The sequence below is a fragment of the Homo sapiens genome, chromosome 9 (genome assembly GCF_000001405.40).
Source record: "Homo sapiens chromosome 9, GRCh38.p14 Primary Assembly".
Taxonomy (NCBI): Eukaryota; Metazoa; Chordata; class Mammalia; order Primates; family Hominidae; genus Homo; species Homo sapiens.
The window spans coordinates 33,382,854-33,410,813 of NC_000009.12; the positions used below are offsets into that span (position 1 = coordinate 33,382,854).

A 27,960-nucleotide genomic window follows, 5' to 3' on the forward strand; every position below is an offset into this window, starting at 1 on the left:
CTGTATTACCTTTTATGCCTCCAGAATTTTTCTGTGTTGTTGCAGGTGTCTGTTGTGCCTTAATTTTTGCTATTGTAGAGGGTTCTATTATGTGCAATTGCGCAGCAGTGTATGTATCTGTTCCCCTGTGGATGGACATTTGGGTTGTGTCCAGTGTCTCTTGACCACCTACCTTGTGCCATGCCCCCAACCCTCCTGTCATTACTCCACAATCTAGCTACATCCACAAAGCCATGACTTCACGAAACCCTGTCTTCCGCTTCTGAGCTCCAGACCATATAAAAGGCATAACTGTGTTTATTGAGCACTTACTCTGAGCCAGAAATGATTCTCAACATTTTACATGTGGTAGCGCATTTAATATTCACAGCAACACAAATGGGAAGTAATATTCTTATCGCCATTTTACAAATAAGAAGACCAAGGCCCAGAAGGGTTGAATATCTTGCTCAAGATCACACACATTTTGCCACCCCCCATTCCAAGTCCCATAGGCAACTCAGACTCAGCATGTCCATGATGTAACTTATCTTCCTCTCCAAACCATTTCCTCACTTGTGCCCTACTCTCAGTGGGGACATCTCCAATCCCCAGGCCCAAGCTGGAAACCGGAAGCCATTTCTGACTCCTCCCTCTCCCTCACCCACTCCATCCAAATGGAACCCAAGTCCTGTACATTGTACTTCTCCGGTATTGATCAATCCCCGCTCTCGTCTCCACGCCCACGGTGCTGACCCATTGTTAGGTGCCCGGCTGCTGCTCCTGGGTCATCACTTTCGCAGGCCCATCTCCACCATTTCCAGCATCCTACACACTGCGGCTCAGGTGTGCTTTCTAAACCTCACCTCACCGTGTCCCCACCTCCAGAACGAAGCCCAGCCTCCTCTGCCCATCCCCTCAAACTGTAAAGTGCAGCTCCCACCCCCAAAAAGGACACCCCCCACCACCATACCCTGCTCTGTCTCCTCCTCTGGGAAGCCTCCTGGCCTTGGCCCAGAGGCTGGATGTGAGCTCCCCTACCCCGAGCCCCACAGCCTCCAAGCCTCCCACTCTGCACTCACCTTCTTCCATATAATTACCTGTCCCCCATTAAACTGCAACCCTCAAAGGCAGAGCCCAGCGCATCCACTGCGCATCCCCAGTGTCCAGGCAGGGCCTGCACACAGTAGATGCACAATAATTATTGAAAGGCAAAATGCATGAGCAAGGACAGGAACCATGGGTGATGCTGCCTTCTGAGCCCCAGGCAACAGAGTGATTCCTGCCTGGCCCCAGGGTCAGTGGATCCTGGCCCCTCACCCCACCCAACCTCTGCACCTGCTTCCCTGGAGCCCTTGGAGCCCTATGAGGCCTCTTCCTGTGTCTTCATGTGGTCGAAGGATTTCCCTCTTTGCATCTTCCTTTCCTATTCCTTCATGTGGGAGCACTCTGGCACCAGGAAGAAGAAAGAGGAGCCCAACCCCTTAACAGCCTTCAATCTATAACAAGCATTCTCAAGGGAATTAAAACTGATTCTTAAAAGGGGAGGTGAAAAAAAAATCTTACTCTTTTTTATGTATAAAGCACAGAACATATACAGAACATAAACAGATATATAGTACATCTGTGGTATTAAAATTTCATGTGATTAAGAAAAAAAAAATCTAGAAGAATACTAGGGAAGGAACTAATGAAAAAAAGGCTAAAAAATTCTGATCTACATTCTTGGGCCTTGCCTTGTCTGGTCCAAGAACCGGCCAGAACTCAGGGAAGGGAAGAACCAGGGGAGAGTCTAGAGTCCAATCTCAGGATCCCCTCAAAGTATTTCCAAAGCCGGCCCCCAACCAGTCAGCTACGGTCTGTTCCCCAAAACCACCCTTCCTTCCCCCGTGCCTGAAAATCCCTCATTCTGTCGTTCTTTCATCTCACCCTGTTCCTACTGAGGGCGCAGGTCATCTCTTCCCCATTCTCCCCCTGGGGCACCCCAGTTCCCAGGGCATGAAAGACTTGAGGTGCCTCACCTCTACACCTTGGGCTAAGACATAGCCCTGGAGCTCCTGTAAGAACCCAGGAGGGAAGCCCAACCACAGGAGGCCCCCAGGAAGTGGGGGTACTGCTGTCGGACAAGCCTTGCTTTATTGGGGAATGGATGGGATCACAAATAATCTCTGCTTAGAAGTGCTCTAGGGCCATGGATTCATGTAAGGGTGGGGCAGGGTGGACTGAAGATCTGTTGGCAGGGCTCACAGAGACGGGGGTGAGGGGAGAGATCGTGGGTTCATGAGATCCCATCTTGGGCAATACGGTTATCCCGTGGTCTTCATACGCCACAGAATCCTCCAATTTCAGGGGCTCCCGTGGGATGGTGGAGCCAATGAAGACCAGGTAGATGATGCCACCTAGATAGGCACCCAGAAGTGGTGCCACCACTGGCACCCACCACCAGTTCTCCCCATTGCTGCAGGCAAGAGGCAGAGGCCTGCTGAGGGGGCTGATGCCCAGGACAGCACCCTCATCCACCTCGGGCCAAGACAGGTTGAGCAGAGGAGTCATCCCCAGGCTACCCCAGGAAACACCCCCAACCCAGGGCCCTGGTCAGCCTCAGCCCAATTCAGGGACAGCGTTGACACTCAGTGCAGGTGCAGGATCTGTATCTGTACTGGCCTGGGGAAATGTTGGGACTCACTCCTGCTCCCCAGGCTACCTGGGGGCTCAGCAGGACCCTCCTGTGCTGCCCCTCACATCACCCCCCACCCCTCAACACACAGGGGACCCACAGAAAAACTCAAAGGAATGGGCCTGGGCAGGGGCAGTACCTGAAGACCTGTTTGCCCCAACCAGCAATGAAGGTGAAGATGCGGGGGGGCAGGTCCCGGGACGGGTTGATGGCATATCCTGTGTTCATGCCAAGGGACACCCCGATGATGACCACGAGGATGCCTATCACCAGCGCCTCTGTTCCTGGCAGTGCTGGGTTGTTCTCCTGGTCCGTGATGGCGAAGAGACACAGCTGGAGCATCCCGGTCAGCCACGCCTGAGGAGCAGATGCTGTGGCAGCTCACCTGGGCCCCTCCCCAAGCCACAGGACCTCGGCAGTGCCCCAGACCCAAGCCCACCAGCAGAGACACGTCTCGGTACAGTCTCCATCCAGAGTTCTTGTCCTGTCTATCCGGAGGGACTCCCTGCTGGCTCCGTCCTGAGGGGTGGAGGGCAGGGGGAGGGATACTCATCCTCGACCACTGACCTCATTCAGGAAGCCCCGCCACAATGTCATGTGATCAGGAAGGTAGGTGGCAAAAATGCCAGCTGTAGCGACGGGACCGGTCACCATCAGCTGTCCACCCGAAAAGTGGAGAATGGCCGCTGCGGAGACACAGACTGTCATGCGAACCTGCTCCCAACTAAGCCCCACCGGGGTCCCAGAAATGAGGTTATAGGTTAGAGGGTGGGGGATCTCCAAGGCTTTTTTCTCCCAGCTATTTTTTACAAATCAGGACACTGAGGTCCAATCTGCCCATATTTCATAGGAGGCGGCTGAGGCCAGAGGCGGACACCCGGGCAGGATACTCACTGTAGAAGAGACTGTAGATGGTGGCAGCCGCCAGGAAGGAGCCCAGGAACTGCCCCAGCACATAGACCGGAAACTTCCTCCAGGGCACGCGGCCCAGCGCACAGTTAGCAAAGGTCACAGCTGCGTTCATGTGGGCTCCTGCGGGCAGCAGGCAAGTGTGTCAGGGAGTGAGAGCAGAACAAACAACAGTGACAAACAGTATGAGAACAACGATGGCTAGTGTGTATGACAGCATGCTCCGTGACAGAGCTCTCTCCTTGAGCCCTCACAACCACCCCGTGAGGCAGGGGCCACCATCTTCGTTTCACTCTCAAGGAAACTGAGGAACACAGAGGCGATGGCTTGCCTAAGATGACCCAGCCAGTGAAAATGGTAGGTCGGGGGGCCCAGGAAGAATCTGGGGCAAACACGTCATAGGCACGGGGTTCAGAGGAGACTTCCTCCCGCCCGGTGGCCAGGCTGAGGCACTGGCTGTGCTGGCAAAGAAGCTGGCTGAGGCGGGCAGGAAAGAGCCTGTTGGGGACACCTGGTCTTGCCCGGTCCGGCAGGGCCTGGGCTCACTCACCAGAGATGCGGCCTGCCACGTGCACTCCCATGGTGACTCCGAAGCCAAAACCCAAGTTGACACCAAGGTAGCTCCCATATTTTTTATTTAGAACCATATGGGCCACGGAACCAAGGCCGAATACCTACAAGGGAGGGCCTCTAAGGGGGCTGCCTGCCCAGAAGCCCCAACCTCAGAGGAGGGCTCAGAGCTCAGTTCTAGCTCCTCACCCCCATGCCCTGGGCCTCCCTGGCATTGCCTCGAAGACCCGCTGCCACGCCCTCTTCCTCCAGAGCCTTCCCTCCTCACTGCCTCCTCTCCTTGCCCCTGCTGAGGCCTCTCAGACCTGAGCCACTGAGAGCCGGGTGGAGCGGCAGAGTTAGAAGCTCTTACGACAAACATCCAAGCACCTCAGCCCCAGGCCCACCTGAAGTTTTGGGGTGAGGCAGGGCTGCGAGGAGGGGATGGCTGGCATGCATTGCACCCCCTCAGAGTCTCTCACACTTCAGGCTGGCCTGAAGGAAGTTTCTTCAAGGGACCTCCAAATCCATCCGTGCCTGACTCTGCCAGGAACCCCTCCCTGCACAAACACACACACACACACTCCACCGCAATTCCCACAATGCTGGAACAGTGGGGCCCTAACTGTCTTGCCCTCAGCTTCATTTCCACTGACCTCAGGCGGCATTCCCAAGCTGCTGCTTCTTGCCCATCCCTCACGGCTCCTCAGATAATGACGCCTTCACAGGGGAAGGGGCCTACCTTCAGGCCCATTAGCCTCAGTCCAGAGCCACTGTTCCCTTCAGCCCTGGCTCCTGTGCTATCCTCTCCCTCTGCAGAGGCCTCCGTCTCCCCCATACCTTCCATCCTCCCACTGATCGGCTCCCACACACTGGAGTCTCATCCTTCCCAGCAAACTGTCCCACCCCTGCCCAGCGTCCTTCTCCAGCTGTGGGTTCCTGGTTGCCTCCTCCCTGCTTCAGTCAGGCCGCAGGAGAGAACACGCTGGCCAGCTGCTTCACCCCTTCCCTCGCACCCCCTCCTCAATCTGGCTTCCACTTCCACATGTCACAGACACCAAAGCTCTCTCCAAGGGCTCCAGCAACCTCCTGATTTTCCAAAGGTCTTTTCAGGCATGGTTTTACCACGTAGACAGTCTCAGCTATGCCTGATGCGCTAAAATTCCCGTCATCTCCGCGGGGGAGCCGGATCCCTATTTGCAAATCCCCACTGGAACTCTCCTGGTGTTCCGCGGGCGTCTCAGGCTCTGTTGAAGGTTCGCCATCTCACAGCACACCTGCTCCTCACTCTATGTTCCCCATCCCCGTTGGCCGAGCCAGAAACAGATGTTGCAAATGAGAGCTTCCTCGCCATCCTCCCCAGCATCCAATCAGCTCTGCTTACATTCTCCCCAAACCTCACCCAGCCTCCTCCTTGCAGCCAGAGTGATCTTCCTAACAAAAACCCCATCGCGTCTTCCCCAGACTCACTCACTGGCTCTCCTCCACTTCTAGGATAAAGTCCAAACTCAGTAGGCCACCATTGAAGACCCTGCATAATTTCATCCTTTCTGCCTGTTTCATATCTGCCCCAATACTCTTTGTATTCAGCAATAGTATTACTACTAAATAATAATAACCATTTATTGAGCACTGCCTACATGCCAGCGAGTTATACTGATCACCTCCTTTAACCCTTAACACCAATCTTATGACTTAAGCACTATTATTCTCCCCCACTTGACAGAGGGTAATCTGAAGCTTAGAGAACTTGAATGGCTTGTCCAAGGTCACACAGCCTGTACCTGGTGAGCCAGGATTAAATCCAGGCAGTTACCTGTGCCAGATGGCCTCAAACCAAACAACTGTGCTGCTCCATGCATGCCTTGCTTTCTTGTGCCACTGTTTTGTTTGTTTGTTTGATGTTTGAGACAGGGTTTTGCTCTATCACCCAGGCTGGAGTGCAGTGCCATGATCAGGGCTCATTGCAGCCTCCATCTCCTGGGCCCAAGTGATCCTCCCACCTCAGCCTCCCAAGTAGTTGGGACTATGGGCATGTGCCTCGGCACCCAGCCAATTTTTTTTTTTTTTTTTTTTTTGAGACAGAGTCTTGCTCTGTCGCCCAAGCTGGAGTGCAATGGCACGATCTCTACTCACTGCAACCTCCAACTCCCGGGTTCAAGTGATTCTCCTGCCTTAGCCTCCCGAGTAGTTGAGATAATAGGTGCACGCCACCATGCCCAACTATTTTTTTGTATTTTTAGTAGAGACAGGGTTTCACGATGTTGGCCAGACTGGTCTCAAACACCTGACCTCAGATGATCCGCCTGCCTTGGCCTCCCAAAGTCCTGGGATTACAGGCATGAGCCACTGCGCCCTGTCCCAGCTAATTTTTTCAATTTATTTTGTGTAGAGATGAGGTTTCACTATGTTGCCCGGGCTGGTCTCGAGCTCCTGGCCTTAAGCAGTCCTCTCACCTCAGCCTCCCAGAGTGCTGGGATTACAGGTGTGAGCCACCATGCCTGGCCAGAATATCCTAATAATTTTACATTGACTGCATCTTGAAATAGGATTTTGGATATATGGGTTAATTATTAAAATTAATTTCACCTGTTGCTTTTTACCTTTTTAATGTGGATACTAGAAAAATTTAAATTATACAGATGGCTTGTATTGTATTTCCCCTGGAGAACTCTGTTCTAGAGTTGATAAAAGAGAAAACCTGGAGAATTGTAGACATGAGGGCCGAAGTCAAAGCCGTCAGAGGAGAAGGCCCCAGGAGAGGGTACAGGGTAAGAAGGCAGACCAGGCCGGATGCGGTGGCTCATGCCTGTAATCCCAGCACTTTGGGAGGCCGAGGTGGATGGATCACTTTAGGTCAGGAGTTCAAGACCAGCATGACAAAACCCCGTCTCTACTAATAATACAAAAATTAGCCAGGTGTGGTGGCGCTTGCCTGTAATCCCAGCTACTCAGGAGGCTGAGACAGGAGAATTGCTTGAACCCAAGACGCGGAGCTTGCAGTGAGCCGAGATCACGCCACTACACTCCAGCCTGGGTGACAGAGCAAGACTCCGTCTCAAAAAAAAAAAAAAAAAAAGAAAAGAAAGAAAAAGAGTTGAAAGACACCAGTGTAGACTCCTCTTCGAGAACTCGCCTGAGGAGCGGGGGAGAGAGAACATGATCCCGCGAAGGGGCTGACAGGGTGAAGGGAGGGATGTTTCATTTTGTGTTGTTTTCAGTGGAGAAACTTCAGTATATTTATAGGCTGAGAGAGGGACAGGCTGAAGATAAAGGACAGAGAAAAAGGACAGAGTAAAGTACCTGAATAGGCTGGACAGCTGGATTGGTGCAGAAGTGGAGGGGTCCTCCAGGAAGGAGAGGACCCCGCCCCAGCCAAGGGGTGATATGTGGATACATGGGTGGTTAATGGGTCTGGTGGTGAGAGGGACAAGAGGGTGAGCTGAACACAGGAAGTGTTGATTATTTTACCTGTCAAGCAGCAGATCAAGCCATTTGCTGATTTAAAAAAAAAAAAAAGTCAGAGTACAGAGCAGCTTTGGGGAAGTCTGAGAAAATGTGAAATAGCCCAGATATGGTGGGGGAGAGGCAGCTGAGCAGGGCCCACTGGGTCCCTCAGAAGCCCCAGGACAGAAGCAGGGGAGCCCAGAGCTAGGCTGGCTTCAGATCCAGGATAAGATACAGCAGGAGAGGACAGGAACAGATGGGGGTGCAGGGGGGAGTGAGGCCAGGACAGGTTGACAGGCTGGCAGGGTCAAGAGGTAGAGGGACTGGAGCAGGCATGGAGGGTCTGAAAACAGAGGGGCCCCCATGGCCTTTCCCCCATTCCAATACCATGTGCTAAAAATACTGGATGAGCATAGGCTGGGCGCGGTGGCTCACGCCTGTAATCCCAGCACTTTGGGAGGCCGAGGCAGGCCGATCATGAGGTCAGGAGTTCGAGACCTGCCTGGCCGACATGGTGAAACCCCGTCTCTACTAAAGATACAAAAAATTAGCCAGGCGTGGTGGCACATGCCTGTAATCCCAGCTACTCAGGAGGCTGAGGCAGGAGAATCACTTGAACCTGGGAGGCAGAGTAGTGAACTGAGATCACACCACTGCACTCCAGCCTGGGCAACAGGGTGAGACTCGGTCTCAAAATAAATAAATAAAATAAAATACTGGGTGAGTGAATGAACCCCACATGATTCCCTGTGTCAGGGTTGCCAACTGGCAACTCATGCACGTAATTCATCCAGCGCACAGGTTTTGTTTAGATAACTTGGTTTTGAAGAACAGAAGTTTCCTTCTCTCTTGAAAAATGAGCAGCTCAGGCAACACTGGCCTGCATTCCACTCTCCATGGCAACAGTCAGCTGGAGTGGCGGCAGCTCTACAGCCTTGCACAGATTGGCACTCTGCAGCCAGCCAAAGTCCCCACCGCCCTGAGTTGCCGCTCTCTTGGCCCCCGTAGCATGTGATCTACAACCCTTGCCCCGTGTCTCACGTGTATGGCTGGTTTTCCAGGGCCCGGATGGCTCCAGCCCCTCCTCTCCCTGATCAGTGAATGTGGCCCAGCCCATCCAACTCTCCCCCACAGCCAGGAGGCCAGCTCCAAGGGCAACACCCCTGGAAGCTGCAACATGGATCAGTCCACTTCCCTCATCCTGGCTGCAATAAATGGGGCCAAGGTCACACTAGCTTTTTTGGCAAAACCTTCACCCTGGTGACTCACTGAGATTCCTGTATATATATATAAAAACAAAAACAAAAAGCCCTCACTTCTTGGCACAGCCTGGCAACTAAAAATAACAACAACACAATGTCCGATATAGGCTTACACCTCACAAAGTTCTTTTACAAGTGCTACTGTCTTCAATCCTCACAGCAAATCTGCACGGCAAGAATTTTTCTCCCACTCTATAAATGGGGAAACTGAGGCCGAGAGAGGCATCTTGAACTACCTGAAAGTGAGGACCTTACCCTGGCTGGGGGAGCATTAACAAGCCAGAGTCTTCAAAAGCTGGCAATATTTAAGCTAAGGGACAGAGCATAGAGGTTAACGGTCAAGACTGTGATACTGGGCCGGGCACGGTGACTCATGCCTGTAATCCCAGCACTTTGGGAGGCCGAGGTGGGAGGATCACTTGAAGTCAGGAGTTCAAGACCAGCCTTGACAACATGGTGAAACCTCGTCTTTCCTAAAAATACAAAAATTGGCTGGGCATGGTGGCATGCACCTGTAATTCCAGCTACTCCAGAGGCTGAGGCGCAAGAATCGCTTGAACCCGGGAGATGGAGGTTGCAGTGAGCTGAGATCGCGCCACTGTGACAAAGCAAGACTGTATCTCAAAAAAAAAAAAAAAGACTGTGATATTAGACTGCACTGGATTTAATCTTGACTTACAGTGTGACCTTGGGCAAAAGGCTTAGTCTCAAGGAGCCTCAGTTTTCCCATCTGTGAAACTGGGATAATAATAGTACCTACTTCACAGGGCTATTGCGAGGATTTGGGAAGATGCTGCACGTAAGGGGCTTAGCATCACAGAGCCCGGGATGCATTAGGTGCTCAATGAAAATCTCAACAAAAGGAAGAGGAACACAGATGTGGGCAGGTATCAAGCATGTGGGCGGTGCCTATTTCCCTAACAGCTCTCAGAGGACGCACCCTCCTGCCTCCGAGGTTCCAAGGGTTAACAGCCCTCATGGGGCTGGAATGTCTTGTGATAAGATCATTACTTTGCCCTGGATTAAGGAGGGACAGGATCCAACTGCTGTCCTCACAGCTCAGGAGCCAAAGCAGGTGGGGAGGTAGGAGAGGAGCAAAGGAGGGCTAGAGGCAGAGAGGAGAGAGCAGCTAGAGCACCCGTCCTAATAACAAGGGACCAATACATGGGTACCACAGGTGTACTGGGTGCTGAGACTTGGCCTTCTTCACACAAGTCCTCCAGTTTGATGTTAGTGCTCCTGTTAACCAATAAGGAAGCTACAGTTGTGGGCCGGGCGAGGTGACTCACGCCAGCAATCCCAGCACTTTGGGAGGCTGAGGCAGGCAGATCACCTGAATTCGGGAGTTCGAAACCAGCCTGGCCAACATGGTGAAACCCCATCTCTACTAAAAATAGAAAAATTAGCTGAGCACACTGGCACGCGCCTGTAGTCCCAGCTACTCAGGAGGCTGAGGCAAGAGAGTCACTTGAGTATGGGAGGTGGGGGCTGCAGTGAGCTGAGATCACACCACTGCACTCCATCCTAGGAGACAGAGTGAGACCCTGTCTCAAAAATAAGAAAGCTAAATTTGTGAACAGTTAAGATACTTGTGGATAGTCGCACAGCTAGAAGATAACAGAGCTAGGATTCAAACACAGCTCCAAAGCCCACGAAAGCCTAATTCTACATGATATAAGTGAGAAGTCAGGCTTTAAGCCATGCAGAGACATGCCCAAGGCCAACTGGTCACTCAGTGGCAGGGTCAGGCTAAGAACCCCGGTGTTCCGATTTCCTGTCTCCCTTGAGCTCCATGGGCCCCACCACACACACAAACAGCCTCTCTCACCCCACCTTCCTCTAGCATGCACCTGGCTGCCTTTGCCTCCCTTCCCAGAGGCTGCCCCTTCTTTCTCTAGACCCTGGACCCTGCATAAGATGCAATAAACATGGCTACAGTCACGTTAAGGGCAGAGGCTCGCTGGGGTAAGTGGCAGGGCTGAAGCAGGTGGAGAGGGAGCAACCTCACATCCCGCCTGCAGTCTGGATTCTGTCCCAATCACACACTAAAGAAGAGCCCTTGTCAAGGTTACCAGCAACCTCCACGTTGCCAAACCCAAAGGCCTCTTGCCAGTACTCACCTCGCGTGGCCCATCTGCCGCTGCCCACGCCGCTGACGGCTTCTTCCTGGTGGAACCACTGCCCCCCTCTGTCATGCAGTCTGCTCTGGTTCTCCTCCCACCTCTCTGACCGTTCCTTCTCAGGCTCCTTTGCATGCCCTTCTTCATTCCTCAGGGCTCTGTCCTCAACCCATCCTTTTCTCTTTCTGTACACTGTCTCTGGACAGTATTGACAACTACCACCTGTGTTGTGATGAACTTCAACTTTTTCCTTCCAGACCAAGCCTCTCCTGAGCTCCAGCCCCTTGCATGTGTTTAACTATCTCCTGGATTTCCCCACAGGCATCTCACCTCTCACCCTGTGCTGGGCCCCGTGCTCCAGAACAGCTCATCGGCGCTTTGCCCACATCTTCTGCTGGCAGAGTCTCCCTGATTCTGTCTTCCACAGCCCTCTCAAACATGTGCTTTCTTCTCCAACCCCAAACCAGTCATCACCTTCTCTCTGTCCCAGATCAAAAACAGCCTCTTAACTGGTTCCCTCTTGCCAGCCTTGCCTGTTCTGCTTATGCTCCACACTGCACCCAAAATTACCTTTAAAACCCAAATCTGATCATGTCACTCCCCTGCTTGCCAGCCTTCAACATCACCCACTGCCCTCTGGATTCATTATCAGAGCCCGATCATCAAGTTTCTCTTCAATCTCTCTCTCTCTTTTTTTTTTTTTTTCTTTTTTTTTTTTGAGACAGAGTTTCGCTCCTGTCACCCAGGCTGGAGTGCAATGGTGTGATCTCAGCTCACTGCAACCTCCGCCTCCTGGGCTCAAGTGATTCTCCTGCCTCAGCCTCCTGAATAACTGAGATTACAGGCGTCCGCCACCATGCCCAGCTAATTTTTGTATTTTTAGTAGAGACGGGGTTTCACCATGTTGGCCAGGCTGGTTTCGAACTCTTGACCTCAGGTGATCCACCTGCCTAAGCCTCCCAAAGTGCTGGAATTACAGGCATGAGCCACCGCACCTGGGCCTCTTCAATCTCTTTATCCTGGGTTTCCCTTCTCCCCATTTCCAGCCGTGCCCCGGATACCCCAGTGCATGGTTTCATTTGACCCCCACATATTATGAGCCCTTTCTGTCCAAAAAGGCTTGATGAGAAAGCCCCCCCTCCTTACTTTCCTCTGCTGCTTCCCCAGGCTCCCAGCTCAGAGGCAAGGAATGGACAATGTGACCCATGGGGTCAGCATGGGGAGGGGGTCATGGACGGCCCTGGCGGAGCCCCACCCACTTCGTGCTGCCCACCCACTCACCATCATGACATATGTGCTCATGAACTCGGCCAGGAACTCTCGCACCATCTTCCTCTGCAGTATTTCCTGGATCTTTGCTATCACGGACCAGGAGACCATTTTGGAGCCACGGGTGGACCTAAGACAGTGGCCCGAGCCCATGGACAGAAAGGAGACTCAAGTCTGCCTGCTGCCCATCGGCTCTTCAACTCCCAGCTGAGTTAATAGGTAACCCAGCAGCCTCGCCCACACACGCCTCCTCTTGCGCAGGGCAGCTGGGACAGCTGGAATTGGAGACACTTGAGAGCCACGGGGACATGGAGAGGAACTGGGGTAGATGGCCAGGCCATGCCCCTTCTAGTTGGGACTGGACCAGTAAAAATGGCACACCAATGAGGCCACTTTGCAGATGGGCGGGTGGGGAGCTGAAAGTGCAATCCACGGTGCCAACAAGCCTCTGGAAAAAAGCAGGGTGGGAGAGAGCAGGCTGGAAAGTGGAGCTCAGTTGTCTATGTCTGTCCGTCTGTCCGTCTGCCTATCTGCTAGAGCCAGAACTTTGGGGTCACAGGCCAGGGCCTGGCAACAGTGAGGCACTCTACAAACAGCATGAGGTGTGACAAAGTCTGCTGCCGAGCTCTATAAACAGCACTGAGCGCTGAAACAAGCGCCAGGTTCTGTCAAAAATGAAGGGGTCAGCAAAATGCACCAGGCTGTGCAACCAGGTCAGTGCAAACAGAGGTTTGTGAGAGAGTGAGTGAATGAATGAATGACCAAGAGAGAGGGAGGGAGAAAAGGAAGGACTGGATCTACTTCCTGGTGTATCTTCAGTGCCCAGCACCACGCCAGGCACATAGTAGATGTGCAATAAGTATTTGTTGAATGAGTGAAAACTGGGGAATCTGTCTTACTCCCAACTAGATCCTCAGAGCTTCCCAAAGGGCCTGGCACTTGATTTATATTGAGTTAAGTGCACGGTTAGATGGAAAGGTAGATGAAACAGGTGAGTAACAGGGCCCAAATCTGCATATAGAGAGAGGTATAGGACTGGAGTTTGGGGAAGGTGGCGGGGTGGGCCTGGAGGATAAAGAGGAAGAAGAGGGGCTGGGCCCGGTGGCTCACGCCTATAATCCCAGCACTTTGGTAGGCCAAGGTGGGCAGATCACCTGAGGTCGGGAGTTCGAGACCAGCCTGACCAAGATAGAGAAACCCCATCTCTACTAAAAAATACAAAATTAGCCAGGCATGATGGCGCATGCCTGTAATCCCAGCTACTTTGGAGGCTGAGGCAGGAGAATCGCTTGAACATGGGAGATGGAGGTTGTGGTGAGCCGAGATCTTGCCACTGCACTCCAGCCTGGGCAACAAGAGCGAGACTCCATCTCAAAAAAAAAAAAAAAAAAAAAAGAGGAAGAAGAGGGATACAGATACCTCTAAGTGTGGCCTTAGTCACTCTGCTATCTCACTGTCTGCATGCCCGGAAGCTGACACCAGCCCCTCAACTCCTCTGGCCAGCCCATCCTTGCACATCACGTACTGCCTTAGCTGCAGGCCTTTGCACATGCCAGTCCTACGCCCAGAATGGTCCCCTGCCTCCCCAGAGGCTCCTTTACCCACCAGCCTTCTTTTCTTGACCTAAATTTCCCTTTCTCTGGGAGAGCCTCCTACCCTCTCCTCTAGGCCATTCACTTCTTCCACATGCCCCACGGTGCCCACTCTTTCAGCTGGGGCAATGCTCATCACACTGCATAGTAATTGCTCAGTTAGGCCAGGCACAGTGTCTCACGCCTGTAATCCCAGCACTTGCCGAGGCGAGCTGATCGCTTGAGCCCAGGAGTTCAAGACCAGCCTGGGCAGTATGACAAAACCTCATCTCTACAAAAAAAAAAATACAAAAATTAGTCAGGTGTTGTGGTGTACGCCTGTGGTCCCAGCTAATGGGGAGGCTGAGGTGGGAGGATTGCCTGAGCTCAGAAGGCAGAGGTTGCAGTGAGCTGAGATCACACCACTGCACTCCAGCATGGGTGACAGAGTGACACCCTGTCTCAAAAAAAAAAAAAAAAAAAGCTTGATTAATAATTAATTAACGGTTTTTCTTCCTAAGGGCTGGGATCATACCAGTTTCCTTCACTGCAGTGCCTGAACATAGTAGGCATAGTAGATTCAATAAATCTTTGGTTCATTGGCTGGTTGTTGCCTGCCGTGTGCTGATGAGAAAGGAGCCAGGCTTCCAGGATTTCCTTGGTGTTCTTGGCTCCCTGCTCTGTCTACCTCTCCCCTGCCTCTATGGTACCTTCCCAGGACTGTCTTTGGGCTGCTGCTTGCATTGGTAGGGTCTCTTCTTCAGGGCTGAGGAGGCTGCTCATGGGATAATGAGACCCCTATACGATGCTGCATGGGAGCTGGAGTTGGATGGGGGCCAGTGGATTATCCGCGCAACTCTGCATCCCCCTCCATCTACTCCTCCCTGGTTTTGTTTCTCTGGGGTAAGGAATAGAGCAAAGACTGGGATGGGTGAGCTATGAACAGAGGGTCTCAGCTGAAAAGTGGAAGATGTTTTATTCCATGCCTGGACATCTCTCATTCCCTCTGCTTACTTTTTGCTGCTGTGAGGTCAGGGGAATTTAGGAGCCCTGAGGAATGCTGCTGCTCTCCCTAGCAGGGCGAGGTGACCCTCCACTGGCCCCCATCCAACCCCAGCTCCCATGCTGGAGGTAACCACAGAAGAGGAGAGAGAAGTGGATAGAGCAGAAAGCCAAGAACACCAAGAGAATCCTGGAAGCCTGGCTCCTTCCTCATCACCACACAGCTGGCAAGACACAGTAAGCAACAGATAACCACCAACCAGCCAATGAACTCAAGATTTCTTGAATCTACTGTGCCTAGAATGTTCAGACACTGCAGTAAAGGACACTGGTACGATCCAGCCCGTGGGAAGAAAAGCAATCAATTGAGCAATTACTATGCAGTGTGATGAGCACTGCCCCAGCTGAAAGAGTGGGCACCGTGGGGCATGTGGAGGAAGTGAATGGCCTAGAGGAGGGGGTAGGAGGCTCCCAGAGAAAGGGAAATTTAGGTCAAGAAAAGAAGGCTGGAGGGTAAAGGAGCCTCCAGGGAGGCAGGGATCACTCTGGGCGTAGGACTGGCATGTGCAAAGGCCTGCAGCTAAGGCAGTATCCAATGTGCAGGAATGGGCTGGCCACGGAGGAGTGGAGGTGGCATGAGATGGGCAGAGAGGGGCCAGGGCCAGGTGGCAGAAGGCCTCATGGCCCACATTAGGGAGTCTGAACTCTACCAGAGGGCCATGGGCCAAGTGGAGGGTTTCAGCAGGAGAGCTGCCTCCCCTGTGGAGGCCAGGATGGAGGAAGTGGAGTGGAGGCAGGGTGAGCATCAGCTTCTCCACAGATGGGTGGAGAAGTGGCGGCAGCCTGAGCCACAGAGATGGCAGCGCCAATGGCCAAAAGAGCACAGTCAAGCTGACAGGCTTGGTGTTTGGTTAGAGAGGGAAGAGAGCGGGGCAGCTCAGCGATGCCCTCAGGTCCTGGCTAGGGCAGGTCCTGACTAGTGTGGGGCGCAGCAGAGAAGCTGTGGGAGAATGGACAAGGAGGCCCTTTCTGGGCATGTTGAGTGTGAGGAGCCCGCTAGACACTTGGGTGGGATGGCCAGTGAGGAGGCAGCTGGTCATGTGGTCTCACTTACAGACACATTTGGAGGACAGCAAATCACAGATGGTCATCTGAGCCATGGGCATAGATGAGAGAGCTCAAGGAGAGGGTACAGACTAAGAAGAGGGGCCCAAGAAAGCCAGCCTACAAAGCAAGAAACTGGCAGCCAACCAGATTCCCTAAGTAATCTGCTAACCAAGGAACTAAATAGCTAACAGCTCACTAAAAGCCTGTTTCTTTTCTTTTTCTTTTTCCTTTTTTTTTTTTTTTGAGACAGGGTCTCACTCTGTCGCCCAGGCTGAAGTGCGGTGGTGGCACAGTCACAGCTCACTGAAGCCTAGACTTCCCAGGGTTCAAGCAATCCTCCCGCCTCAGCCTCCCAAGGTGCAGGGATTTCAGGCATGAGCCACCACGCCTGGTGGCTTACTAACCCTTTGACTAACCTATCAAAAACCAACTAACTGATTCTCCTGTTAACCAGCTATTAACTCATTTAATTATCTAATCAACCAGCCAACCATAAACTATCCAACTAACCACGAGCCAACAATTCAACCTGCTAACCAACATTTCTTAATTCAACAAACATTGGTTGGCCAGGCATGGTGACTCATGCCTGTAATCCCAACACTTTAGGAGGCCGAGGCAGGTGGATCACTTGAGGTCAGGAGTTCAAGACCAGCCTGGCCAACATGGCAGAACCCCATTTCCACTAATAATAAAAAAAAAATTAGCTGGGCATGGTGGCAGGCACCTGTAATACCAGCTGGGGGGGGAGGGGCTGAGACATGAGAATCGCTTGAACCCAAGAAGCAGAAGTTGCAGTGAGCCGAGATCATGCCACTGCACTCCAGCATGGGCAACAGAGCAAGACTCCATCTCAAAAAAAAAAAATTTTTTTTTGTTGAGCATCTACTTATGAGTCAAGCACCAGGGATACAAAGTCAAAACCCACTCTCCACCCTTGGGTCACTCTGTTTAATGGAAGAGATGGGTAATGGCAACAACACCAGAGAGAAGCAGCCTGGGACTGGGGGAGCTCAGGGAAGGCATGGGAGGTGAGGCCTGAAGGGGGTTTTGAAGAATGGGCGGGTGGTGGCCTGACATGGCCATGGGGGAGTAGGGTGGTGGTAGAAAGAATGGTGGAAGCTGTGCACATTCTAGATATTTTAGGAGATTGGTGACTGGATGTGAGACATGGGGGAGAGGGAAGTATGAAGGACATGACCTTGACTTCTGGCTTGAGCAACTGAGGAGAAGGGGACCCCTGACTGAGCCAAGAGCACAGGAGGAGTGGACTTGCAGGGGGCGGAGGAGGCTGTTTCCATCTAGGAGCTGAGTTGCCTGTGAGACACCAGTGGGTCTCTAGAAACAGGATCTAAAGCCCTGGAGAGCGATGTAGGCTAGAGGCAATGATGTCAACAGAGTGGCACTATTCATTCTCTCCGTCCAAGTGTACAACAGGCAAATATCCCTGCTTGCGTGGAGCTGACAGCAATGAAATGTAATAAGTAAGTACATTTGTATAAGCGAAGGTACCAGCTCCTACGGAAAAAAACAGAGCAAGGAGAGGGGAATTGGGAGTGCAGGGGCTGGAGATGGGGTGTGATTTCAAATAGGGCAGCCAGAGTAATCCTTGTTGAGAAGGTGGCCTTGGAGCAAAGCCATGAAGGAGACGAGAGTGGGCTGTATGTTAGCTGCAGAAAGCCTCTCAGGTGGAGGGAGACTAGTCACCAGAGGACTCTCAGCATGTTTGAAGAAAGCAAAGAAAGTCAGTGTGAGGCCAGGTGCAGTGGCTCACACCTGTAATCCCAACCTTTTGGGAGGCCAAGGCGGGTGGATCACCTGAGGTCAGGAGTTCAAGAACAGCCTGGCGAACATGGCGAAACCCCATTTCTACTAAAAATACCAAAATAATAATAATAATAATTAGCTGGGTGTGGTAGTGTGTGCTTGTAATCCTGTAATCACAGCTACTCAGGAGGCTGAGGCAAGAGAATCGCTTGAACCCGGGAGGAGGAGGTTGCAGTGAGCCAAGATCATGCCATTGCACTCCAGCCTGGGCGACAGAACTGGATTCCATCTCGGAAAAAAAAAAAAACCTGAAAAGAAACTCAGTGTGGCTGGAGGAGGGAGAGCAGGGGGCTGGAGTGGGGAGGCCAGAAAGCTAACAAGGCTGGGCCTTGGCCATTGCAAGGACTGGCTCTTGTTCACCCCAAAGACAGCTGAGCCTGAGAGGGTGAGAGGTGCTGAGTGCAGTTGAGTTGAAGGCCACCTGCATGCCTTGACCCTCATCCAAGTATTTCTGAGCCTCCCCTCACCCCAGGACCCAGCCCAGGCAACAGGTGGAAGATGCTCTTCTTCTGGGACCTCAGAGGCGAGTGGGTGGGTGGGGAGGAGGAGGTCGAGTGGGGACAGCTGCCCCAAGGGAGAGGCTGAGGATGGAACAGGGAGGGCACTGAAGTGGGCTGGGTGAAGGACAGGGGGCTGGAGGGTGAGAAGAGGGTGGGGTACTTACCGCCTGTGCCCGGATGCTTGAACCATGTTTTGTCTTTCAGATTTGTAGATGCTGAGGAGCCAAAGAGAGGTCACTAGGGCTGGAGGACACAGAACTTGGCCCCACACTTCCATCAGACCTTGGTCCCCAGGGGAGAAGCCCTGGGGCAGCTCCTGCTAGTGCCACTCCCTTAACCCAGCCAAGGAACAGGGAGGGAGGAGCGGTGCTCAGCCAATGAGGCGACGCCCTGGAGCCCCACCCCACCCATGCTGGCCCCAGGACCCCAGCCCCAGGCCAGACCCTCCAGTGCTCCTGCTGACCTTCCGTGTCTGCAGCCCGGCTTTGGACTGTGGAGATGCCCTCAGCCTCTACTCAGTGGCTCCAGCCTCATATTTGCGTGCTATACCTTTAACCTCAAGTCCTCTTGCTGCTAACTTAAGCTGCGACTGTCCAGGACCTGCACACACACACACATGCACGCATGCACACACACACACACAGAAGGTGAACACACAGGATGAGGCCCTGAAAACTCATTTCACCCGTGTACCTCACCCAAAAATTCCCCTTTGTACTCCTATCTTTATCTCTAACTGACAGCATGAAGGTAGCCCGAAGTCCCCTCACCCTGTCTGTCCTCCTGATTCTCTAGCCCAGTTCCCTCTAGCTCCAGCACAGACTCTTATCTCCAGCCCTGACTGCCGAAACCCTCCAGCCCCAGCTCCAGCCCCTCAGGAGGGGACTGCGTGGGAGGAATGACTCCAGCAAGCCGGCAGCTGACCCGTCTCCTGCCTGCACGCCTCCCGCTGTGGTCCACTGCCGGTGGTCTTCAGCTCTCTCCTCGTCCCACCCCCATGGTCTGCTGACAGCCCAGCTCAGTGCATCCCTGCCATCTCTGCTCTACCGCTGGTCCTCCCAACAACCAACTTACAGGTAAGGAAACTGAGGCCCAGAGAGAGGGTGTATGTGCCTGTGTCACACAGCAACACAGGACTGCACCATAACAAGAAAGCCGGGACTTCCACTCCCAGACGGGGCTCCTTCCCCAAACAATCCCTCAGTCACCTCCTCCCTGTATGGTACCCAGGGAATGGCCCTTCCAGATCTGGGCGCTGAGGAGGCTGCCCCATCCCCACCCTGCCTGGAGCCCCACTCACTCTGCTGAAATGTCTCTGATTCTCAGCCTCCGCCTTGGGGGCTTCTCAGTTACAGCGCATCTTGATCTTGTTCCTCCGTGACTGTCCCTGGCTCAGCTTCCACCCCCAGCTGGGGCTCAGCTATCCCTGTGTCCCCAGTCCAGAGCCTGCCTCTCAGCTCTCCCAGGGCGGCCTCGAGCGCTGCTCCTGCTCCTCCAGGGGAGAGGTCAGTAAGGCAGGGGTTTGGCTGGTGCCACTTGAACCAAGTCCAGATGCACTGCCCAAAATAACATCCCTCGTCCGGCCAGCAGTGCCGTGGAGACCGAGTTCTGAAGCAGGCCTTTGTGAGGTCAGAGGTGGAGCTCTGGGTGGGCACTCTGGGCCTCTCAGTCCCAGAGGAAAGGCCTGTCCTCCAAGCCAATGTGCAGCCTGACTCTGGGGCCAGCGCCTGAGGAAGCCCTCCCTGAGCCCCAGCCCTGGGGAAGGCTGAAGAGGCCTCTGAGCCCCCAGCGCTGGGGAGAGCTGTGCAGAATAGGACTGGAGGTGGAAGTGTTGGAGATTAACAGCCAGGTGGAGGGGACGGGGGAGGCCCTGGGTCAGTCCTCAGGGAACCCCCATTGTGAAGGGGGAAAGGGAAACTCAGGCCCAGTCCTCAGGGGCCCCCAGTCTGAGAGGAAGGAGGACACACGAGCCATATTTGCAGAGAAACACCAGCCTGCGAGAGGAGGTAGAAGCCCAGGCCTGGCCCTCCGAGGGCCCCTAGTCTGAGGAGCAGTCCACCTGTCCTCGGGAAAACACCTCCCTTAGGAAAGGCCAGCAAGGCCCCCGTAAAGGACCCAGAGCTGGATCGGGACATCGGGCTCGGGGCTCAGCGGTGTGGGAGCTCCGGGACCGAGGTGCAGTCAGGAGAGACCCTGGGGGCCAGCAGCAGTCCCAGAGGACTTTTGGAGCCAAGGCCTGACTGGGTCTCAAACAATGGGGCAGGCAGTTTGGGGTTTCAGCAGGTGGCCCAGTGCTGAGACACAAGGGAGGTGTTTCTGGTCTGCAGACACTGAGGACGCTTGCTATGTGGCGTGGTGGACGGTGGGTAAGTCCTGGGAACTTCCGGCACCAGGCTCCATGGGTGGGAAGGGGCATAAGATTCAGTTGTCCAAAGCTCAGGTCTGGGAATGGAACTGTCCTGTAGAGGGTGCCAAAGACCAGGTCTGGAACCTGCATAGCCCCAGTCCCCACCCCTGCACACACCCTCCCACCCCTTCCAGCTTTTTCTGCAGATCTTTCTGCAGGGGTGAGGCAGGGAGAGGAAGGGGTCGGCCACAGTCCCGGGGCTTCCTAGTCAGAAGCCCTCTGTAAGGCACTAACTTCCCTCTGCAGATTCTTTTTTTTTTGAGACGGAGTCCCGCTCCGCCCAGGCTGGAGTGCAGTGGCACAGTCTTGTCTCACCACAATCTCTGCCTCCCAGTTCAAGTGATTCTCCTGCCTCAGCCTCCCAAGTAGCTGGGATTACAGGCATGCACCACCAAGCCCAGCTAGTTTTTTTGGATTTTTAGTAAAGACGGGGTGTCACCATGTTGGTCAGGCTGGTCTCGAACTCCTGACCTCAGGTAATGCACCCGCCTCGGCCTCCCAAAGTGCTGGGATTATAGGTGTGAGCCACTGCGCCCGGCCTCCCTCTGCAGATTCTACGTGGGCTCAAGATTCAGCCTTTCTTCCTCAGGAAGGGAGGGGTGCACGCTTGGAAATGGGAGAGTCCTGCCTTTTTTCCTTTCCCATGTGTGCTCCCAGGGCCGGGATGAGGTCATGTTAGAAGTGGATCTGGGGTCTTGGATGAGGTCAGCACTTGGGCAGAGTTGGAATGGGCTGGTGTCAGGTTGGTGAGGGAGGGAATTGGGATCCATGCTGGGGTCAGAGATCAGGCTCTAAGCTCTTTTACAGGGCTTGACCCTGGGGACTGAGAGGTGGAGAAGACACAGTCCCATCTGTCTCACGGCAGAGACAGGTAAGCAGCAGGTGACTTAGGACACACCAGATAGGCTGGAAGGAATACAGACGGGGCTATCCCAAGCTGGAGGGGTACAAGGGTCTTCCGTTAGAGGTGACGTGGGAACTGAGTTTTCCAAAACGAGCAGGGGGATGGGGCACCGGGGCATTTGAAGCTTGATGGGATTGTGAGAAAACCTGGGAACTGCGAGTGACTTGCAGAGGGCTGCGGAAGTGGGCAGGGATAGACCATGAAGGGCTTTGTCAGCCAGGCCAAGGAGTTCTGACTTTAACCCGAGGGCCTGAGGAGCCTGCAAAGGGTTCTAAACAAAGAGAAGAGCAACAGGGTCAACCTGAGGTCCCTGAGGCCCCAGGGCATCCAGCAGGCAGAGGCGCAGTTGGGCCTGGGCTGGGGAGAGGAGTCTAGCTGGAGAAAGAGAAGAGGAGATATCAGCCCCTGGACATTCAGCACTAGAGTTGCTGGGGCTGCCCAAGAAGCACAGGGAGTGAGGCAAGGGCCAGGGCCAGGATTCTGGGGAAGAAGGATGACGAAGAAGGAGTGGGTGTGGAAGGAGCTGGAAACCCAGACACAGGGCTGCCCAGAGGCTGATGGGAGCCAGTAGGGGGCTGTTGCCCCAGAGTTGGGTGCTGGGAGGGGCTGGCCAGGCAGGTGTTTGCAGACAGCTGCCTGGATGAGCTGGTGGGGATAGAGGGTGGCAACAGCACTGAAGAAGCAGAGGCTGAGGAGGCAGAAAGTTCAACTGCAGAGAGAAGAGAGGCAGCTAAAGGGGCCACCAAGGTGGGAGTTTGGGTCAGAGCTGTGAAGCATGTTAGTCTGCACAGAGCCTGCGGCGGGGGGTCTCTGGGTCTCTGAGCCAGTGGAGATAGTTGGGGGGCAGAGAGGGAGGGGACACCCGGGGTCCTTTCTTCATAGGATGGGCTTGAGTAGAGTTACCAGATAAAATATAAGATGCCCAGTTAAATTTAAATTTCAAAGAAACAATATTTGCCACAACCTTATACCTGGTATACCTTTGGTCTAAACTCAGGCCCTCTTGATGCTTAAACTGTGACTGTCCAGGACCTACACACACACACACACACACACACACACACACACACACACACACACACACAGAGTTTTATTTTTAGCAAATAAAAATATAGCCAGGTGCATTGGCTCACTCCTGTAATCCCAACACTTTGGGAGGCTGAGGTTGGTGGATCACCTGAGATCAGGAGTTCGAGACCAGCCTGGCCAACATGGTGAAACCCCGTCTCTACTAAGAATACAAAAATTAGCCAGGTATGGTGGCAGGTGCCTGTAATCCCAGCTACTCAAGAGGCTGAGACAGGAGAATTACTTGAACCCAGGAGGCAGAGGTTGCAGTGAGCTGAGATGGCACCACTGCACTCCACCATGGGTGATAGAGTAAGACTCTGTCTCAAAATAAATAAATATATAAAAATAAAACAAAATACTTTTTTATTTTATTTTATCTTTTGAGCCAGAGTTTCGCTGTTGTCACCCAGGCTGGAGTGCAGTGGTACAATCTTGGCTCACTGCCACCTCCACTTCCCGGATTCGAGTGATTCTCTTGCCTCAGCCTCCCGAGTAGCTGGGACTACAGGCATGAGCCACTACACCCAGCTAATTTTTGTATTTTTAGTAGAGATGGGGTTTCACCATGTTGGCTAGGCTGGTCTCAAACTTCTGATCTCAGGTGATCCACCCGCCTCGGGCTCCCAGAGTGCTGGGATTACAGGCGTGAGCCACCGCACTTGGTCTAAAATACTTTTTTCATTCAAACATTTGTTAAGAATATCTTTCTATGACAGTAGGTCCATGTCCACCTCATGCCTGTTGTACAGCATTCCACCTGATGGAGATTATATAATAAGGAATCCTTCTATTGATGAGCGTTTAGATTGTCTCCAATTTTAAATGGACCCAACACTTCTCTATTGTGAACAACATGGGATAAACACAATTGGCTGAAACTCAATTAAGGATGAAAATGCAAATCGAAATTTTAAAATATCAGAATGAAGAAACAAAAATGACTAAAGGTGCTAAAAACTGTCCCCGAATGTCCCCCAAAGTGTTGACACACGCACAAAAACTAAACATTTTGATTAATTATTTGTTTCAATCAACATGCCATTGGATTAACTTATCACAAAAACTGCTTTTCATCACGCTGCTTTACACTTGTGGTTTTTCCGACTCTTTCGAGCCACGGAATCCTTTGCATAACTCAGGAGCCCATGGTATAAACAAGCAAGGAAGGAGCCACTCTGGTTCCAGGCGCAGGGGTGGGGGTAGGAGGGCAGGGCAGGTCCCTCAAGGAGCCCTGGTCTCTCTCGAATCATCTGAAGCCATGAAGGTTCTCAGAATGCCCCAAAAAGAAAAGACACTTAAGCCCCACCCAAGTAAGCATCTCCTTCCAAACTCATTTTTCAGGTAGGAAAACAGATTCAGAGCAAGGTAACAACTTGCCCAAGATCACCTAGAACTAGAACATCCAGACCAGGGCTCTGGCTCACCCCAAGGAGACCAGGGTTCCCCTACTAGGCGGCGAGGCTGGGGAGGGGCAAGGGCAGAGGCAGGACCCAGGAAGGTCTTTAACTCTCACACCCACCAATTACCAGAACTCCCCCTCGCCCCCCGCCCAGGCTCTCATCCTTCTCAGAATCATCCATGGGCCTTCAGGACAGAGCAGATGGAGACCAAGGCAGACAGGATCAGGCACAGCCACTTGTCCAAGGGCAAAGATCCCCTGAAGTCGAGAACCCAGAATTCCAACCTAGGCCTACTCCATCCTAAAAGAGCCTATATGGAGCTGCCTAACTTGGCATCTGAAACCAGGGATTGAGCTCAGACTTGTCACTTTCTAGTATGAGCTGGAGCTATCAGGGAAGGCTTCCTGAAGGAAGAGGGGTCTTATTAACGGAAGCAGCCAGGGAGACAACACTGAAGAAATTTGCATGTGTGAGAAGCATTTGTGTCTTTGTATATACCTATATGTGAGCATGTGCCTGTGTGGATGGACAGGTGTGTGTGTGTGTGTGTGTTGTGTATGTGTGTATGTGCGCACACATGCATCTGCTTATGTGTGTCTGGTCTTGCACGCGGAAGCCTCTCTGTAGTGAGACACACACACACACACACACACACTCCCCAAGTTGTGCACACGTGAACATGCGACCATTCTTCCAGGTTAATATTTCCCTGCCTGCGTCAGCACGGTCCCAGTAAGTGAGCAGCTCCATGCAGGAACGTGCCCTATCTGATCTGGTCAGGGGCTGTGGGTCGGGAACAGGGGGATTAGGGCGGGCAGGGAGCCCATCTCAGTTTCCCCCGGGCAAGCTGCACTCTCTCCACTCTCCTGCTCAGCCAGAGAAAGGAGGTAGCCCCAGTGTAGTGTGACTGCCCGGTCTCCCCACTCACGCTGGGGACTCCCTGATGGAACAGCCTCCTTGCTTGCCTCCACATAGGCCAAGGCCAGCCGTTCCCTGAAAGACCCTCCCGACTCCCTCATCTCTGCCCAAATCCTGAGGCCTCTCTATGCATAGTTGTCCCCTTAAGGGCAAACAGGGAGCAAAGACCCTAGGAAATGCTCACAATGAGCCCCTCCCTTCAGCAGGAAAGCAGCTTTGAAATGTCCAGGTGAGCCAGTGGGAAGGTGGGATTCAATTGGCAGCTTTCCAGGAGAACAGTGATTGCAGCAAGGGCCTGTGCAGAGATCTGTGTGGTCAGGGTCTGGGGTACCGGCACCCACGGGCATTAAGCTTCAGCCAGGAAGGCTTGGTGGGACATGTGGGCCCCAGGGAGAGTGGCAACTCCCTAGATGCTGGGCCTCTCCCTGGGTTGATGGAGAACCCTCCCATGCCTGCACTGGTCCCTGGGGTGCAGGCTGGGCCAGGCTGGGCTGGGTGAGCAGACACTGTCTCTTCTGCTTTTGGGACAGCCCAAGGGCTAGCGTGAGTCAAACCCAGGTGTCCTGGCTCCTAGCCCAGCTAGAGGATGCCCCAGTGCTTCCCTGAACGGGAGGAGAGAGAAGGCTGGAGCATGGACAGAGGGAGACACTCACCGCTAAGGCTCTTCCCACAGCATAGCCCCTCTGCCTCCACCTCTCTCAGGCTCCATCTCTGGGTGGTCTCCTCTCCACCCTAGGGGCACATTAGGACTTTCATAGGCCCTTGGCATTTTTTTTTTTTCCTAGAGACAGGGTCTCGCTCTGTCACCCAGGCTGGAGTGCAGTGGTGCGAACTTGGCTCAGTGCAACCTCAAACTCCTGGGCTTGAGCAGTCCTCTCACCTCAGCTTCTTCTCACTGAGTAGCTCGGACTACAGGCGCACACCAAGATGCCAAACTATTTTTTGAATTCTTTTTGTGAAGACGAGGTCTCACTTTGTTGCCTAGACTATTCTCAAACTCCTGGGCTCAAGCAATCCTTCCACCTTGGCTTCCTAGAGTGCTGGGATTACAGATGTGAGACACCGTGCCCAGCCTGGCGTGTGTGTGTGTGTATGTGTGTGGTAAAAAATGCAACATAAACTTAGTGATCTTAACTATTTTTTTTGGTTGGGGGGTGGCGGGTCTTAACTTTTTTTTTTTTTTGGTGAGTCTTGCCCTGTCATCCAGCCTGGAGTGCAGTGGTTCGATCTCGGCTCACTACAACCTCCACCTTCCAGGTTCAAGCGATTCTCCTGCCTCAGCCTCCCGAGTAGCTGGTACTATAGGCGTGCCCCACCACACCCACCTAATTTTTGTATTTTTAGTAGAGACGGGGCTTCACCATGTTGGTCAGGCTGGTCTCAAACTCCTGACCTCATGATCTGCCCGCCTCGGCCTCCCAGAGTGCTGGGATTACAGGCATGAGCCACCATGCCCAGCCCAATCTTAACTATTTTTTAGGTAGAGTCCAATAGTGGAAAGTATATTCACATTGTTGTACAATCTCCAGAACTTTGTCATCTTGCAAAGCAAACTCTATACCCATTAAATCATTCCTCAATTCCCTTTCTCCTACTCCTGGCAACCACCATTCTACTTTCCATCTCTATGAGTTTGACTACTCTAGATACTTTATATGAGTGAAACCATACACTGTGTGTCTACCTGTGCCTGGCTTAGTTCACTTAGTATAGTGTTCTCAAAGCTCCCTCCATGTAACGTGTCAGAATTTCCTTCCTTTTTTTTTTTGAGATGGAGTTTTGCTCTTGTCGCTTGCTCAGGCTGGAGTGCAATGGCACAATCTTGGCTCGCTGCAACCTCCGCCTCCTGGATTCAAGTGATTCTACTGCCTCAGCCTCCCAAGTAGCTGCGATTACGGGTGCCCACCACCATGTCCAGCTAATTTCCTTCTTCTTAAGGCTGAACAATATTCCATTGTATGAATGTACCACATTTTGTCTATCCATTCAGTTATCCCTGGACTTGAGTTGCTCCCCTCTTTCGGCTATTGGGAATAGTGCCGATATGAACATGGGTGTGCAATTATCTTTTTGAGATCCTGCTTTCAATTATTTTTTTTTTAATTTCAGGTTTGGGGGCACACGTGAAGGTTTGACATATAGTAAACACATGTCATGGTGGTTTGTTGTACAGATTATTACATCACCCAGGTACTAAGCCCAGTACCCAATAGTTGTCTTTTCTGCTCCTCTCCCTCCTCCCGCCCTCAAGAAGACCCCCGTGTCTGCACTTTCCTTCTTTGTGTTCGTAAGTTCTTATCATTTAGCTCCCAATGCTTTCCATTCTTTTAGATATATGTGCCCTTGGCATTTTTGCCCTTTTGGGCCCCTTCTTCCAGCAAATAATAATAATAGTAATAATTAATTCTATTTTACAACTATTGGTATAAAGACAAATATATTAATTTTTTTTTTTTTTCCGAGACAGGGTTTCACTCCCGTCACCCAGACTGGAGTACAATGGTGCGATCTCAGCTCACTGCAACCTCTGCCTCCTGGGCTTAAGCGATTCTCCTGCCTTGGCCTCCCAAGTAGCTGGGATTACAGGTGCCTGCCACCACTCCTGGCTAATTTTTGTATTTTTTGTAAAGGCGGAGTTTCTCCATGTTGCCCAGGCTAGTCTCAAACTCCTGAGCTCAAGCAATCCACCCGCCTCGGCCTCCCAAATAAGTGGAATTATAGGTGTGAGCCACCACGCCGGCCCTGATGTATCAATATTAAAACATTTTCTTCAGCCTACAAGTTCTTCTTTTTCTTATTTGGATGCAAACTAAAACATTTTGTGGGCCCTTAGATTGAACATTCTCATGGGTCCTGTGCCTCCTGTGCGTCATGGAGAAGGCAGCCCTGCATGGCTCTCACATCCTCTTCCCCCACGCAAATGCTGCCACCTCCCCAGCCTCCATCTCCAGCCCGGAGCTCAAGAACAAGTGGTCCAGCCTCCTCTCTTGTTATCTCGTATGTGTAACAAGCACATTACCTTCACCTGCCCCAACCCAACC

The 27,960-nt window shown here is 52.7% G+C and overlaps 1 protein-coding gene and 1 long non-coding RNA gene across 20 annotated transcripts, besides 10 other annotated features; one reads left to right on the top strand and one right to left on the bottom strand.

Annotated features, from left to right (window-relative positions):
• AQP7 (aquaporin 7) lies at window positions 338–19,715 on the bottom strand. 12 transcript variants are annotated; one of them, NM_001376193.1, is made up of 9 exons: window positions 19,520–19,715; window positions 18,683–18,819; window positions 18,384–18,434; window positions 12,225–12,342; window positions 4,116–4,239; window positions 3,551–3,688; window positions 3,224–3,342; window positions 2,796–3,013; window positions 338–2,378 (listed from the first exon to the last, which is right to left on the bottom strand). In NM_001376193.1, exons 3-9 carry the CDS (start codon window positions 18,407–18,409, stop codon window positions 2,300–2,302), a joined length of 822 nt encoding a protein of 273 aa, NP_001363122.1. In that variant the 5' UTR covers window positions 18,410–18,434; window positions 18,683–18,819; window positions 19,520–19,715; the 3' UTR covers window positions 338–2,299. The 12 variants fall into 12 exon arrangements, 7 of the variants coding, with proteins under 7 accessions (NP_001363122.1, NP_001363120.1, NP_001363121.1 ...); NM_001376191.1 differs by having other exon boundaries at window positions 338–2,437; NR_164778.1 differs by lacking the exon at window positions 4,116–4,239 and having other exon boundaries at window positions 338–2,437.
• Window positions 519–1,019: an enhancer, noted in NCBI's record as "H3K4me1 hESC enhancer chr9:33383370-33383870 (GRCh37/hg19 assembly coordinates)". NCBI's record gives its function as "activates a minimal SCP1, AML or CMV promoter by ChIP-STARR-seq in primed H9 embryonic stem cells {active_cell/tissue: H9 hESC(primed)}" and the evidence as "EXISTENCE:reporter gene assay evidence [ECO:0000049][PMID:30033119]".
• Window positions 1,020–1,520: an enhancer, noted in NCBI's record as "H3K4me1 hESC enhancer chr9:33383871-33384371 (GRCh37/hg19 assembly coordinates)". NCBI's record gives its function as "activates a minimal SCP1, AML or CMV promoter by ChIP-STARR-seq in primed H9 embryonic stem cells {active_cell/tissue: H9 hESC(primed)}" and the evidence as "EXISTENCE:reporter gene assay evidence [ECO:0000049][PMID:30033119]".
• Window positions 3,012–4,211: an enhancer, noted in NCBI's record as "BRD4-independent group 4 enhancer chr9:33385863-33387062 (GRCh37/hg19 assembly coordinates)". NCBI's record gives its function as "activates an origin of replication core promoter dependent on BRD2, P300/CBP, MED14 and CDK7 cofactors, and independent of BRD4, by STARR-seq in HCT116 cells {active_cell/tissue: HCT116}" and the evidence as "EXISTENCE:reporter gene assay evidence [ECO:0000049][PMID:35650434]".
• Window positions 7,437–8,224: an enhancer, noted in NCBI's record as "H3K4me1 hESC enhancer chr9:33390288-33391075 (GRCh37/hg19 assembly coordinates)". NCBI's record gives its function as "activates a minimal SCP1, AML or CMV promoter by ChIP-STARR-seq in primed H9 embryonic stem cells {active_cell/tissue: H9 hESC(primed)}" and the evidence as "EXISTENCE:reporter gene assay evidence [ECO:0000049][PMID:30033119]".
• Window positions 8,225–9,011: an enhancer, noted in NCBI's record as "H3K4me1 hESC enhancer chr9:33391076-33391862 (GRCh37/hg19 assembly coordinates)". NCBI's record gives its function as "activates a minimal SCP1, AML or CMV promoter by ChIP-STARR-seq in primed H9 embryonic stem cells {active_cell/tissue: H9 hESC(primed)}" and the evidence as "EXISTENCE:reporter gene assay evidence [ECO:0000049][PMID:30033119]".
• Window positions 8,538–8,832: an enhancer, noted in NCBI's record as "tiled region #752; HepG2 Activating non-DNase unmatched - State 5:Enh". NCBI's record gives its function as "activates a minimal TATA promoter and a strong SV40 promoter by Sharpr-MPRA in HepG2 cells {active_cell/tissue: HepG2}" and the evidence as "EXISTENCE:reporter gene assay evidence [ECO:0000049][PMID:27701403]".
• Window positions 18,638–18,932: a silencer, noted in NCBI's record as "tiled region #4081; K562 Repressive DNase matched - State 4:PromP". NCBI's record gives its function as "represses a minimal TATA promoter and a strong SV40 promoter by Sharpr-MPRA in K562 cells {active_cell/tissue: K562}" and the evidence as "EXISTENCE:reporter gene assay evidence [ECO:0000049][PMID:27701403]".
• On the top strand, window positions 18,668–27,697 carry LOC105376020 (uncharacterized). 8 transcript variants are annotated; one of them, NR_188541.1, is made up of 5 exons: window positions 18,668–18,969; window positions 19,055–19,295; window positions 19,569–19,724; window positions 27,029–27,109; window positions 27,387–27,697. It is a non-coding gene; the product is annotated as an uncharacterized LOC105376020 (long non-coding RNA). The 8 variants fall into 8 exon arrangements; NR_188542.1 differs by lacking the exon at window positions 19,569–19,724; NR_188540.1 differs by lacking the exon at window positions 19,569–19,724 and having other exon boundaries at window positions 18,668–18,866.
• Window positions 21,483–22,040: an enhancer, noted in NCBI's record as "H3K27ac-H3K4me1 hESC enhancer chr9:33404334-33404891 (GRCh37/hg19 assembly coordinates)". NCBI's record gives its function as "activates a minimal SCP1, AML or CMV promoter by ChIP-STARR-seq in naive H9 embryonic stem cells {active_cell/tissue: H9 hESC(naive)}" and the evidence as "EXISTENCE:reporter gene assay evidence [ECO:0000049][PMID:30033119]".
• Window positions 24,870–25,371: an enhancer, noted in NCBI's record as "H3K4me1 hESC enhancer chr9:33407721-33408222 (GRCh37/hg19 assembly coordinates)". NCBI's record gives its function as "activates a minimal SCP1, AML or CMV promoter by ChIP-STARR-seq in naive H9 embryonic stem cells {active_cell/tissue: H9 hESC(naive)}" and the evidence as "EXISTENCE:reporter gene assay evidence [ECO:0000049][PMID:30033119]".
• Window positions 25,372–25,871: an enhancer, noted in NCBI's record as "H3K4me1 hESC enhancer chr9:33408223-33408722 (GRCh37/hg19 assembly coordinates)". NCBI's record gives its function as "activates a minimal SCP1, AML or CMV promoter by ChIP-STARR-seq in naive H9 embryonic stem cells {active_cell/tissue: H9 hESC(naive)}" and the evidence as "EXISTENCE:reporter gene assay evidence [ECO:0000049][PMID:30033119]".
• Window positions 27,698–27,960: the final 263 nt, after the last annotated feature.

Coding starts and splice junctions, on each gene's coding strand:
- AQP7 (NM_001170.3), bottom strand. CDS start 18,409: ATGGTTCAAGCATCCGGGCACAGGCG. Junction 3,689..4,115: donor CGTGGCAGGCCGCATCTCTG/GTGAGTGAGCCC, acceptor TGCTGCCCGCAG/GAGCCCACATGAACGCAGCT. Junction 3,343..3,550: donor CATCTACAGTCTCTTCTACA/GTGAGTATCCTG, acceptor GTGTCTCCGCAG/CGGCCATTCTCCACTTTTCG.